The 13833-nt window shown below is 45.4% G+C and overlaps 1 long non-coding RNA gene across 1 annotated transcript; it reads left to right on the top strand.

Moving 5' to 3' along the window:
* Nucleotides 1-11290: 11290 nt before the first annotated feature.
* On the top strand, nt 11291-13423 carry LOC124903961 (uncharacterized). Its single transcript, XR_007065681.1, has 2 exons — nt 11291-11558; nt 13016-13423. It is a non-coding gene; the product is annotated as an uncharacterized LOC124903961 (long non-coding RNA).
* The last annotated feature ends 410 nt before the right edge of the window (nt 13424-13833 follow it).

Below are 13833 nucleotides of genomic sequence, written 5' to 3'. Positions count from 1 at the left end.
TGAAAGAGGCCAGTCTCAAAAGGTTACACACATAATAGAGCCATTCTTGACCGTCTCATGAAGACAAAACTACCATGTTGGAGAACAGAGCATGTTGCCTGAGGTTAGGGGTGGAGGTGAAGGCAGGGGTGACTATAGAGGGATTTCATAAGGGAGTGTTTGGGGCTGTCTGTGTCCTGATTGTGGCAGCGACTGCATGAATCTCTGCATGTGTTAAAATTCACAGGCTTGTCCACTGCCCCCAGAAGTCAATTTACTGTATAATTAAAAGAAAATGTTCCAAATATCATCAATAGGATTTTGGATCCTTTATGCCTTAGCTTTTTCCATGGCCAAGGGAGGGCAGTCACCCAACTTACTCTACCTTCAGAAGCAAAATGAAGAAGGGTCAGACATTGCTGCAGACATGGATTTTTGAAAATGTTACCTTTTCAGGTTTTGCAAGGAAAACAAAAGTTAGCAGGTAGCCCCCCTCTGTATCATTTCCTCTTAATGGTAGAGACAAAGAGAAGGTGGGACAGGTGCTTTGGAATGATTTGTACAATGTTACTGTATTTTCAGTGCTTACTACATGCCAGGCACTGGGCCTTAAGTGCTTTGTTTACTTCAATTTTCTCTGAGAAGTAGGTGCTATTATAAGTCCCACTTTGCAGATGAGGGAATTAAGGCCCAGAGAAGTAAAGCAGTTTGCACAGCTGGTGAGCAGGGGAACTGGGGTTGAATTAAAAGCCAGTGCCCTTAATTCCTATGCCATTCGCCCGAGCTCCCAGTCTCTGTCATCTCCACCCTAGACCTTGGAGTTTCTTGCTGTCTGGGCTTGAGATTGGTATTTGGGTACTCTTTCTCTTGATCCTCAAGGATTTAGTCTTGGTCATGCCCTCCGGGTCCCCTCCTATTGCCCTCTCTTGCTGGGCAGTTCCTCCTGGGCTAGCCTCTCAGGAGGCCCTTGTGTGAGACTTGGGAGGTGGCGGCATCAGCAGGCAGAGGTGTGGGCTTTGGCAGACAGGAGATGTGGCATCTCTCCGGATCCCATGTGGCTCTCCCACCTGGTGATTTGGGTAGCTGTCATCACCAGGTATGGTTTCCTCTGGCCCCTGGCCTAGACAGCAGGAGTGGCTTCCGGATCTCTTGAAGCCCAGCAGTGGCTTCCCTGACCATTGCTTCTCCAGCTTTCTGATGGGTTTTTATGAACCTAATTTCCTGGAGTGAGCCCCTTCTTGAAATGCCTAGAGTGGTTTCTGTTCTCCACACCAAACCCTGGCTGATAGAGAGTCTGGGGGCTCTGCCCTCTCAAGAACCTCTTTTTGAAGAGAAAAGAGAATGTAAGAAAAAGGGGGTGCAAGAGGGGAAATACTAAACAGTGGTAAGGAAGTTGGGGAGAGAGGAGAGAGAAAAGGGAGGAAGGAAAGAGAGGAGAAAGGCAAAGGAGGAGAGAAGGGGAGAGGAGAAGAGAGGTAAGAGAAGGAAAGAAAAGGGAGGGGGATAAGGGAGGGGACAAGAGGCAGGAAAGAGAGGGAAGAGGAATGCCAGCAAGAGAGCCTCTTAAAGGATTTTTTGGTAAAAGACTATAATTGAAAACTGAAGAAAGGGACTTGGGACAGGAGACCCTATGATGAGTGTCCCTGGGGTGTCCCTTCTTGGAGTTGGTTGGCTGAATCCTCTTATCCGCCCAGCCTTGACTGGGGGGCCCGGCCTGGGGAATGGGAAGAAATTCTCAAAGGAGCCTCCCAGCTTCTTTTCTTTTCTTTTTTTTGACAGAGTTTCACCCTTGTTGCCCAGGCTGGAGTGCGATGGCATGATCTCGGCTCACTGCAACCTCTGCCTCCCAGGTTCCAGTGATTCTCCTGCCTCAGTCTCCCAAGTAGCTGGGATTACAGGTGCCCGCCACCACACCCAGCTAACCTTTTTTTTTTTTTTTTTTTTTTAGTAGAGACGGGGTTTCACCATGTTTTCCAGGCTGGTCTCGAACTCCTGACCTCCGGTGATCCACCCACTTTGGCCTCCCAAATTGCTGGGATTACAGGCATGAGCCACCATGCCTGGCCCCTTTTGTTCTTTCTGTTGACTGCCTGTCCCTTGTGTGAAGGAGGCAATGGCGGTTATTGTCCCCAATGCATAGTGAGGGACACCACAGCACAAACAGGCTTGAATGGGGTGGTATGGGGCAAATCCAGGAGGAGCACCAGTGTTCATCATCTCAGCACCAGAAAACCAGAAAGGCCCTAAGGGAGGAGAGGGGTGGGAGGATTCATTAAGCATCTGTTCTGGTCACAGTGTCAAGCATTTTTCATGCCATAGTTCATTCGACTGAATCTTCACAAAGTCATAGTTTATTATTTCCACTGATTAAAAAAAAATGAGGCTCAGAGGTTAAACAAATCACCCAATGACATACTAGGGTAAATGTGAGATTCAAACCCAGCACTGTCTAGCTCCAAAGCCTGGTGGTTCCTCCTACACCACTACCCTTGGAATAGCTGCCTAGAAAGTGCTATTGGTTCTTTTCAGGGCTCTCACTCCAAAAGAACCTGTTTGTGCCTGTGCCTGTGTTTGGCTCTAAATTATATGTACAGCCATCCCCGAGGCATGGTTCCAGTAGCCCCCACAGATACCAAAATCCACAGGTGCTCAAGTCCCTTATTAAAAATGGCATAGTATTTACATTTGACCTATGCACAACCTGCTGTATAGTTTACCTCATCTTGAAATTACTTATAATACCTGAAACAATATAAATGCTATGTAAATACGGCTGACGCTGGAACTGTGTAGGTCCACTTATACACGAATTTCTTCAGCCTCTGCCACCCCTGAGACAGTGGGACAGATCCCTCTTCTTCCCCCTCTTCCTCAGCCCACTCATCATGAAGATGGTGAGGGTGAAGACCTTTGTGATGATACACTTCCACTCAGTGAATAGGAAATGTATTTTCTCTTCCTTATTTTCTTAACTATTTATGCCCAGTGTTCCATTATTGGAATGCTAAGCATGTGGGAGTTATTTATATCCTACTGCTCAAGGTCTGATTGCAAAAATTCAAAAAATTGCAACCTCAGGCATAAATGGGTCAATAACATTTTCTTTTCTCTAGCTCACGGTATTGTTTGAATTCAGTATGTGATACATGTAACATACAAAATGTGTTAGTTGACTGTCTCTGTTATTGGTAAGGCTTCTGGTCAACAGTAAACTATTAGTTAAGTTTTTGGGGAGCTGAAAGTTACATGTGGATTTTCCACTGCATGGGGTATTGGTGCTTCTAACCTCTGTGTTGTTCAAGGGTTAACTGTCATTGTTATACTGCATTGCTTAGGGAATTATGACAAGAAAAAAGCCCATATGTCTTCAGTACAGATGCAACCGTCCATTTTTTCCCCAGATATTTTCAGTCTGAGGTTGATTGAATCTGCGGATGAGAACCCGTGGATATGGAGGGCTGACTGTAATTGCTTAGATTTGTGTCTTGGCCAATTGGTATCTTCCAGTTTAAGACACACACTGGTCAATTCTAGTAATCTAATTTGCTTTATTTAGTTGCTTTACATGTATTAAGTTCTGATCCTCAAAAAAAAAAAAAAGCATGCAAAGTGATTATGATATCTTTGTCTTATGGATGAGAAAGCTGAGACTCAGAGAGATGGCGTAACTTGTTAAAAGCTACACAGCTAAGTGTCAGAATAGGATTTGGAGAGGACGGGCGTCTGCCTAACCACAAAACCTGTGCCCGCCATGGGACACTACACAGCTCTCAGTGCAGCAAACGTACAGGACCCGTGAACTCCGATATAACTGTGTGATAAAATGTCATGAGGCTCGTAAGACTGATAATTTCAAAATAATTTTTAATAAAAAGAAAACTGTCTATGACAAGATGCTCCTGAGAAAAGGTAGTACACAAAATTGAATTGAATATACAGTGTGATTATTTACAAATAAAACATCAAAACAAACTTGCTTATGCAGAGAGAGAGAAACTAAAGAGAGAGCCATCAAAACAGTGGTGCTAAAATTCTGGGTAATTTTTCCTTCTATTTTTCTGGATTTGTTCAATTTTCTTTTCTTTTTCATTCTTTTTTTCTTTTTTTGAGACAGAGTCTTGCTCTGTCACCTAGGCTGGAGTGAGGTGGTGCCATCATAGCTCACTGCAACCTCCACTTCCTAGGCTCAAGTGATCCTCCTACCTCAGCCTCCTGAGTAGTTAGGATTACAGGTGTGCACCACAAGCCTTGGTTAATTTTTAAATTCTTTTGTAGAGACAGAGTTTCACTATATTTCCCAGGCTGGTCTTAAACTCCTGGGCTCAAGCGATCTGCCTGCCTTGGCCTCCCAAGGTGCTGGGATTACAAGTATGAGCCACCGCGCCTGCCCCAATTTTCTTTAATGAAAAACAGCTCAGTATTTATATATTGTTATAGACAGCCGCCAGCATGGGTAAAAGTGAAGCGTGGCTCTGTATAATAACAGAGGAAAGGCCCCTAGGCATCAGGACAGTGGAGAGGAGGCACTTGGGCCCATGGCCCCCCTCCTGGAGTGTAGTCACCCTGCTTCTGGTTTTTGAGAGCCTCACCCAGCCTCTCCTGCCCAGCCTGTGCTGGTCTTTGCCAGTCTTCGGGCAGTCACTGTGGGTGCCAGTCTGGGCCAGGCACTGAGGCTGCACTGTAAGTTCCTGTGGGACAGAGGCTGACCATGCTCTGTTCATCTTTGTGCCTCTCAGGCCAAAAGCAAGGTCTTACGTGTGGTAAGAACACAGTAAGGGTTGAATAGAGAGAATCTCCAAGGTTGTTTTTTTTAGGACTTGTGACTTTACTTTGGGGGCTGACTTGGCAGCCAAGCCTCTAGGACTTGATGAGACCTGGACTTCACAGTGTCCTTGGCGCATCTGTATAACATGCCTCCAGAGGACTCAGCTCGCCTAACTCAGCCTCAGCATTATTTCCCTCCAGGGCTGCCTCCTTCTCTGATTAAGAAACCACCTCTCAGATGATGTAACGGTCTCCAACAGCCCAGAGAGCCTTAAATGGTGGAGTTTGAAAATATGATATTCGTTTTTCCATTATCTAATTGCTGTTGTAGTTGATTTATCCTGACATGACCCTTGCTGACAAGACTCTGGCTATATTGTACATCCCTACAACTTAGCAGTGACTCTGCAGGGCCCTTCCAACCCATTTCCTTCTTGGCCCCAGCCTCCTGTCCTGAGGCTCCCACCCACTGCCCACTGTGCTTCAGCTGCATTGTGTTACCTGCCCAAATAGGTACGGCTGCTTTGGGCTCCATTCCTAGCATCTGCTTGTGCTGTTCCCCTGCCTGGCGTGCCCTCCTCCCCCAGTCCATCTGCCAAATGCCTCGCCCCTGTTTCAAGGCTCTGCTCAAATGCTGACCCCTTACAAAGCCTTTCTTGAACTCTATCTGCAGGTCACATGGATTTCTCCCTAAGAATTCTGTCATCTCTTGGTGCAAAATTCCTTGCACTTGTTTCATCTAATGCTCACTTTTTCTACATATGTTTAGTGGATATTACTCTTAACATGGAGCCAGGTGCTGGGTGGGTACTTGGTGTATATTATCTCAAATTCTGGCAGCAACCACATGAAGAGGTGCTGTCGTTTTCATTTTCTGATGAGGACACTGGGGCTCAGAGAAATGAAGGACTGGCCCAGTTTCTTACGGACATAAGGTGGTACAGCTGGGATTGACACTGGGTCTGTGTGATTCCAACACTCTGTCAATTTGCTGCATATGAATCAGGTTCTTTGGCCAGGTGGTGGCTACTATGGGCGGTGGTGGCTGTTCATTCTCAGCAGTTCCGAAATGACATCACTGATAGTGCGAGGTAATACCTTGTACCCAGGGCAGAGAGTTCAGCACCCTCTGCATTGGCAAATCAGAGATGAGTCACTTGCCTGCTGACATATGACTCCTGATAGAAGGGACTTGGAGTAGCAGTCAGGTTGAAAGGGGAGCAGCAAGTTCATTTGGGCAGCACTCATATTGCTTTTTATTTTTATTTTTTTGAGACAGAGTCTTACTCTGTTGCCCAAGCTGGAGTGCAGTGGCCTGATCTTGGTTCACTGCAACCTCCGCCTTGAGGGTTCAAGTGATTCTCCTGCCTCAGCCTCCTGAGTAGCAGGGACTACAGAGGTGTCCCACCACACCCAGCTAATTTTTGTTTTTTTTAGTAGAGATGGGGTTTTGCCATGTTGGCCAGGCTGGTCTTGAACTCCTGGCCTCAAGTGATCTGCTAGCCTTGGTCTCCCAAAGTGCTAGGATTACAGCGTGAGCCACTGTGCCTGGCCTCTTATTGCTTTTTATGGACTGCATATTTATATGAGGTTGCTTTGGAGTGGCCTGATAGAATTATGGGTGGCTAAAACCCCTTACACAACCACTGTGGATGAAGTAAAAAGAAAAAGTTGAGGGGAAAGGTTCTGGCTCTGGGAAGCAGAAGGCAGAAATACAGTTGCAGAAAGTTGTGTGTCTGCATCAAAATAATCAATCACCCAGCTGTGTCATCCAGCCTGAGTCAGACCCCAGAGGGCACCTCATAGAGAGTAGATGATGCTGCTGTCAGTGGGAAAAACTACTAGGAACAATCAGGACTGATGGATGTTGTGGAGTGAGCCCTCAAGTGCTCATCATCCAAATTAGAAGTTACTCAATGAACAGTTGTAGGCAGAGAGAGGGACTTGGTGGGTCCCTGTTGACTGGAAGTGAGTTGAACCTTGGGCTCTGGAAGACAGAAACCATCACTGTGAAAAGGCGGGTGAGCTGTTGTTCCCTTTACTTTCCTTGTGCATTGTTTCACATTTGTTTGGGTTGGTGAAGATAATCTCAACACTCCTCAAATGGCAGCACTGATAATGCCAGGCAATGTCTTTGTGTACAAGGCAAAGTTCAGCGCCTTCTGGATTGACCAATCAGGGATGAGTAACTTGCTGGTTGTCATTTGATCCCTGATAACCGGGACCCTCATCTCTCCCTTTCAGCTTTAATGAATGAAATGGTAGCAATAGTTAAAGATGCTGTTGCCCAAAGAAGTATTGATTTTATAATTTGTTTCCTCCATTCTTCACCCTTTAATTACTGATTGGATTCAAGGTTCTGGTTTTCAGCAGGTCATGACAAATCTAGCAAATAAATAATAGCGCAGTAAGCTTTAAGTTCATTATTTTCATTGGCATCAATGCCACTATCATTTTTCATTCCATCTTGATTCAGTTCAATACAATTCAATATGTTTTTGAGCCCCTAGTCATTCTAAACATTGTGGCAGGCACTGAGGAGACAGTAATGCATCTTTAAATACGGTTCCTGTTCTCATGAGGCTTACAGTCCAGGGGGAAGACAAACATGAAAGAAGCAACTATATGCCCATTTAGAATAATCACTAAGGGATGCTATAGGAAAGTGTAACATGGAGATCCAACCTAATCTTGATGGGTGGAGCGGTGAATGGACACAGGGAAGATCTCCCAGGGGAAGTAAGATTCCAGCTAAGAATTGAACGATGAGTGTTTTTGGGCAGGGGGATGGAAGCGGGATGGGGTCAGGAAATGAAGAGTATTTTAATGGAGAAAACAGCAAGGCAAAGCTCTATGGTGGAAAGGGTGTAGCATCTTCATGGACCTAAAGGAAGTCGAGGTATTTCAGAGCACAAGGAGGAGAGTCATGGACGATGACCTCAGAGAGCTCAGCCAGAGCTGTGCAATGGTTTGGGACTTTATACCAAGGGATTGGGAAGCCTGGATTAAGTGTTTGGGATGTAGTATTCTAAGCAGGTATAACAATAGCAAACACTTATATTGTGTTTACTATGTGCCAGCCACTGTTCCAAGCACCTTGAAAACATTAATTAATTTATGTAGAGACCCATTGCACCCTGTTTTCTGGTACCAGGAAGCAAGACCAAGCCAAAGTCTATCTGGAAAAGCCAAGAGTCAGATGCTGGAGAGACCAGAGAACAGAGGCAAGCTTGTTTTAGCAAAAACTTGGAGTCAAGTTCTTGGGGTCTGGCTGAGATTAGCCTGAAGGAGGGCAGGTCAGGAATCATCCAAGACAGCCGAGTGACTAGAGATGGACAGTTTGGGGTTTCTTGGCTCAGCTTAGATAGCAGAAGGTGCATGGCACCCGGAGCCTGGTGTGCTGGGCTGGTCCATCTCCTGCTTTTGGTGTGAACTGCAGGAAATAATTGAGGTGAATCTGATGCTCTCGTATAGGGTATATGGACAATAGAATACTAATGCGAGACCAATATGTGAATGAGTAGGAGTATTTCTGTGTTATGGTCAGAAGTCGGAATTCTAACTGGCACCAACATTGACCAGCTGGTCACCTGTCAATTGGTAATACAGGGAATGCCCACTCTGTGTGCACCTCGTGGGGGCAGAGTTGGGGATGAGCATGGATGGTATCATGAAAAGTGCCCTGGCCAAGGGCTGAAGAGGTTGGACTCTAGTGCTAGTTCTGCTGCCTTTTAGCCATGTGAACTGGCACAAACCACCCACTCTGCCTGAGTCTGTTTTCTCATCTATAAGATGGGCTTTATGGAGTTGTTATGAGGATAAAACGAAATCTTATATGCGAGTGCATCTTTCAAGCGGTAACATATAACTGTAGCAGGGTGATTGGATGCTAGAGAAGCTAGCTGTGCTGCAAACCAACATAACATGAGTGTGCCTCAGAGTGCTAACTTCGTGATTTGACATTGTTTGGGAAATGTTGTTGGCAAATATGTATGTGTGCTTTCAGGACCCCTCTTCCCAGAAGAGCCCACCTGGAAGGTAAATGTGGGTCAAATGATTGCATGTGGCAGACTCGAGGCAAACCGGACAGTTGTCATGTGACTGGTGTGGCATGCTCACAGCAGCATGGACAGTTGTCTTGTAGCTAAGCTAGGCAAGCTAGGCTCATGGCATAGTGGACAGCTGTCATGTGGTTGGTGTGGCAGGCTCATGGCAGAGTGGACAATCATCATGTAGCTTGTGTTTCAGGATAGACAGCTATGATAGTCACTCCTTCTTCTCTCCCGTGCCCTTTCCCTCTCTCTCTGATAACAACACCCCCATCCGGCTTCCCAGGAACCAGCTACCCTCTACCCAGATGACCATGACTAAGGCCCAGACTACCTAGAATTCCGAGGGGCAGATTGATATGGGCTGGAGTGGTCAGAGAAAGCTTCGAGCAGACCCAGGAAATTGAGCTATACCTTGAAAGGCAGACAGGATTGAGGCAGTCCTGTCTCACCTGAGGAGAAGGCATTTCAGATGGTGGGGTCAGCTAGAGGTATAATTAAATGTGGGCCTGGGAGGAGACTCAGACTAGATGGCAGGGTGCTTGCAGGAGATGGTGAGAGATAATCAACAAATCAGCTCAACCTCAATCCACTAAGTCTAGACTACACGCACGGCACATTCCCAACTGTATTAGTCTGTTCTCATGCTGCTAATAAAGACATATCCAAGACTGAGTAATTTATAACAAAAAAGAGGTTTAATGGACTCACAGTTCCTTGTGGCTGGGGATGTCTCATAATCATGGCGGAAGGTGAAAAGCATGTCTTACGCAGCAGAAGACAAGAGAGAAAGTGAGAGCCAAGCGAAAGGGGAAACCCCTTACAAAATCATCAGCTCTCATGAGACTTATTCACTACCACGAGAACAGTATGGGAGAAAATGCCCCCATGATTCAGTTATCTCCCACCAGGTCCCTCCCACAACATGTGGGAATTATGGGAGCTACAATTCAAGATGAGATTTGGGTGGGGACACAGCCAAACCATATCACCAACCAACTTATTCCAAGTCTGTCCTTCCTTAATTACCCATATTTTGATCCCACATCCATCACTCATTGTCAGGAAGTTCTTTGCTGTGTCTAATCCAAGTCTGCATGGCTAAGGTAAGGTTGTTTTCCCCAGTTTTGTCTTCAGGTGAGGCGAAAGACACAGTTTATAGAAAGCCCCAGCAAGGAAAATATACTGGTGTTGACTCCAAATGTTGTCCCTGAGGAAAGCTTTTGGCATCTAGAATGGCCCAAGTGGCTGCAGCAGTCTGATCCTGCCTCCAAGAGGAACTCTGGCTATGCTGGGGATCTTGGGTATTTTCTTTTGTCTTGTCAACTGGTAAAAGGACTTGAGTTTCCCCCTCCAGCTCATAGGAGAGGCGAGAAGGAAAGAAAAAAAGAGGAATTCATCTTCTTTGTTTTTGCGGTGGAAATTATTCGCCTGTACCAATAGCATATTAAGATATAATATTTAAAAGGAAAATGGCACAGTTTCTTCAGAGCTAAATGTTTATTGTTGACTCAAACATGGGTTCTTCTGATTATATTAAAGTTGCCCTGGAAGCAAGAGAAGGGATCCTGGCATCAGAGTGACCTGGGCTCGTATCCTGACCTGGACACTAGTGAGGTGTGAGACCTTAGGCAAGCGAGTACACTTGTCTCAGCCTCAGTTTCCTCATCAGTAGAATGGGGGTGGGGGCTGAGGGCAGTAATCCTTCTCCATAGAATTGTTATACAAATGACCACTTTATAGAACAAACAGAGGCTGCGGGTTGAAGATTCCCATCCTTCACTTATTCTCACTCTTTTCTGTTGCTTCGTCCTTTACTGGTCCCTCCTAGGCCCTCTCTCCTGGTCTGTGCCTCAGACTTCCTAGAGGGGACTCCAGGGCACAGCTCACAGCAGCCTCCCTTCATCAGCACCGGGAGCCTACTTCCCCCACCCAGAGGGACAGGAAACTCCTTCTGGAGGTGAGCCCCTGGCCTCTCTTTCATCCTCTGTCATCAAGCCAGGGTGATGAAATTGAGTGGCCCTCACTGTCAAGTGCCCTTTTTACTGGAATTTAATCAGAACTCACAGATCAACTCTTTGGTCATTGCAGTTGAGAAGCTCAAGACATTCCAGCCTTACCCGCTTTGTTCTGCTTTTCCTGATATTGCAAATACTTTTGGATGCTTATTTTTATTCAGGAAAGCACTGAGTATCAGACTTTTTCATGAGAGTTCCCTGTGGAGAGATGATTGCATCTCTAGAGGCCAGTTACTGCTTTAGAGACCCACAGCGCAGCTTTTCAGCAAGAAGCCTAATTAAACAAGTTTGGGAAAGTCCCCGAACTGTGTTTCTGTGGGGTCCTGAGACAGCCTGATTTCAAGGTAAAATGGAGGCCCTTTCCTGGAAATGATGCAATTGACCAAAACAAATACTTTCATCCAACCTCCCTTTCCAAAGGCCCCTCTGTTGGTGGATTCCCTTTGGGGGCTGTGTCAGGAATCAGAGAGTGGGGTAGGGGCCAGGACTCCCTAAATCCTTTCTGTCTGAATAGCAGAGGGGAGTTTTGGCTGAAAGCTGTTTAAAAGATAAATTAATTTTCTAACTCATTAGTTTATTTAATCCATAATTCCTATCATGTAAATTTATTTTGTTATATAGAATAGGTAAGATATTTGCCTGGTTCAGAATTCAGTAAAAGGATCTCCTAACCCAGTCCCAATTGTCTGATTTCCCTCCCTAGAGGGAAGTAACAGACCAGTTTCTTATGCCTCCTTTCAGAGATATGGTATGTATAGAAAAACTGTACATCTTTTCTTCTGGTGCTCTCTTTTTTGATTTTTAAAAACTTAATATATCGTGGAGTTCTTTTCAAAACAATGCATAGAAGTCTTCATTTTTTTATGGTTCATATTAGTCCACTGCATAGAGATATCACAACTTTTTCAGTAATCTCCTATTAAGGGACAGCTGGTTTATTTACATTCTTCTACTATTATAAGCAACACAGCAGTGAATAACCCTGTACAAATGTCTTTTCATACATGGGCAAACATCTGTAGGATAAGTTCTTATAAGCAGAATTGCTAAGTGAAAATGTATACACATTTGTAATTTTGAAAGATGTGCTGAAATTGCCCTACAGAGAAATGGGACCAGTTTACACTGCCACTAACATCTAAGAGTGTTTTCAACATACAAGTGTTTTATTTATTTAGTTAGTTAGTTATTTAGTTAGTTGGTTTTGAGACAGGGTCTCACTCTGTTGCTCAGGCTGGAGTGCAGTGGCACAATCATGGCTCACTGCAGTCTTGACCTCCTGAGCTCAAGTGATCCTCCCACCTCAGCTTCCCAAGTAGCTGAGACCACAGGTGTGCACCGCCATGCCAGGCTTTTTTGTTTGTTTGTTTTCTACAGATGAGGTATCACTATGTTGCCCAGGCTGGTCTTGAACTCCTGGGCTTAAGTAATCCTCCTACCTGGGCCTCCAAAAGTGCGTGGATTACAGGTGTGAGTCACCATGCCTAGCCTAGTGTTTTATTGAGTGTTTATTATGTTCCACATACACTGGGTGGTTAAAAAGGTGAGCTCACCCTTGAGTGGCTTCCCTTTTCTCATAAGGTAAAGGCCAGTCCCTACTTGGCCATCGCCACCTTGCCTGCCCCAGCCCCAGAGTGCCCTGCCTTCACCCCAGCCCCACTGCAGCCTCCCTCTTGCCCAACTCACCACCCTTAGGCAATCTCACCATGTTTTAGTTCTTCAAACATGCTAAGCTCCTTCCACGCATGGGGTCTTTGTACATGAAATGCCACATGGCTAGATGTCCCTTTCTCCCTGTTCCTCACGTGGTTAGCCACTGTTCACTCTTCAGCTCTCAGTTCAATCACCATTTCCTCTGGGAGCCCTTCTCTCACTTCCATGACTAGGTCCCTTATGACTAAGTTACAAGCTCCCCAGCTCTGTGTACAGTTGTCCCTCGGTATCCGTAGAGGACCGGTTCCAGGACCTCCCATGGATACCAGAATCCTAGGATGCTCAAGTCCCTTATATGAAATGGCACAGTATTTGCATAGAATGTACACAATCCTTCTGTGTACTTTAAATCACCTGTAGATTACCTGTAATACTTCATATGATGTCAATGCCATATAAATAGTTGTTATATTCTATTATTTACATTTTTATTGTTGTACTGTTATTTTTATTGTTATTTATTTATTTTAAAAAATATTTTTCTATCCACAGTTGGCTGTATGCACAGATGGGGAACCTACAGATACTTAGGGCCGACTGTACTTCTTGTAGGCCCAGGAACTATTACCCATTTTATTTCTCTGATGACTTACTATTGGTCTTTCTTGCTGTACTGTGAGATCCATGAAGGCAGGGACCATGTCTGTTTTTCTCTCCGTTGTATCTCCGAAGCCCAGCACTGTGCCCGGTCCCTAGTAGGCACGCTGTAATAATTGTTTGAGTTTGTTCAGTAAGATCGAGGACTCTTGATTAAGAGTTCAGTATGTGCAGGCACTGTTCTAGGCACTGGAGATACATCAGTGCATAAAACAGACAAAATTCCTGCTCGCTCCAGCTTGACATTCTGATAGTTGTTGGGGGAAGGAATATACAGTTAATAAATAAATAAAAATGAGCAAATACGTGTTATGTCAGATTGTGATATACGCCATGAGAATAAATAAATCAAGGTGGAGCAGCAGAGCAAGATGGAGCTGGGGAGCCATTTAAATAGAGTCTTCAGGGAGGGTCTCTTAAGTAAGGTGACATTTAACAGAGAATGAATGGAGGAGTGAGTCATGAGGATATTTGGAGGAGGAGCATTTCAGATGGAGGCAATAGCAAGTGCAAAGGTCCTGAGGCAGACCTGTAATAGACATATTAGAGGAAGCAAGAAGGGCCACGTGGCTGGAATGAAGCACGCCTGTAATCCCACCTACTCCAGAGGCTGAGGCAGGAGAATCACTTCAACCCGGGAGGCGGAGGTTGCAGTGAGCCGAGATTGTGCCACTGCACTCCAGCCTGGGCAACAGAGCAGGACTCTCTCTCAA

This window comes from Homo sapiens, chromosome 17, assembly GCF_000001405.40.
Source record: "Homo sapiens chromosome 17, GRCh38.p14 Primary Assembly".
Lineage (NCBI taxonomy): Eukaryota > Metazoa > Chordata > Mammalia > Primates > Hominidae > Homo > Homo sapiens.
The sequence above is the reverse complement of the archived record's forward strand: the minus strand, read 5'-3'. Positions and strand labels throughout refer to the sequence as shown.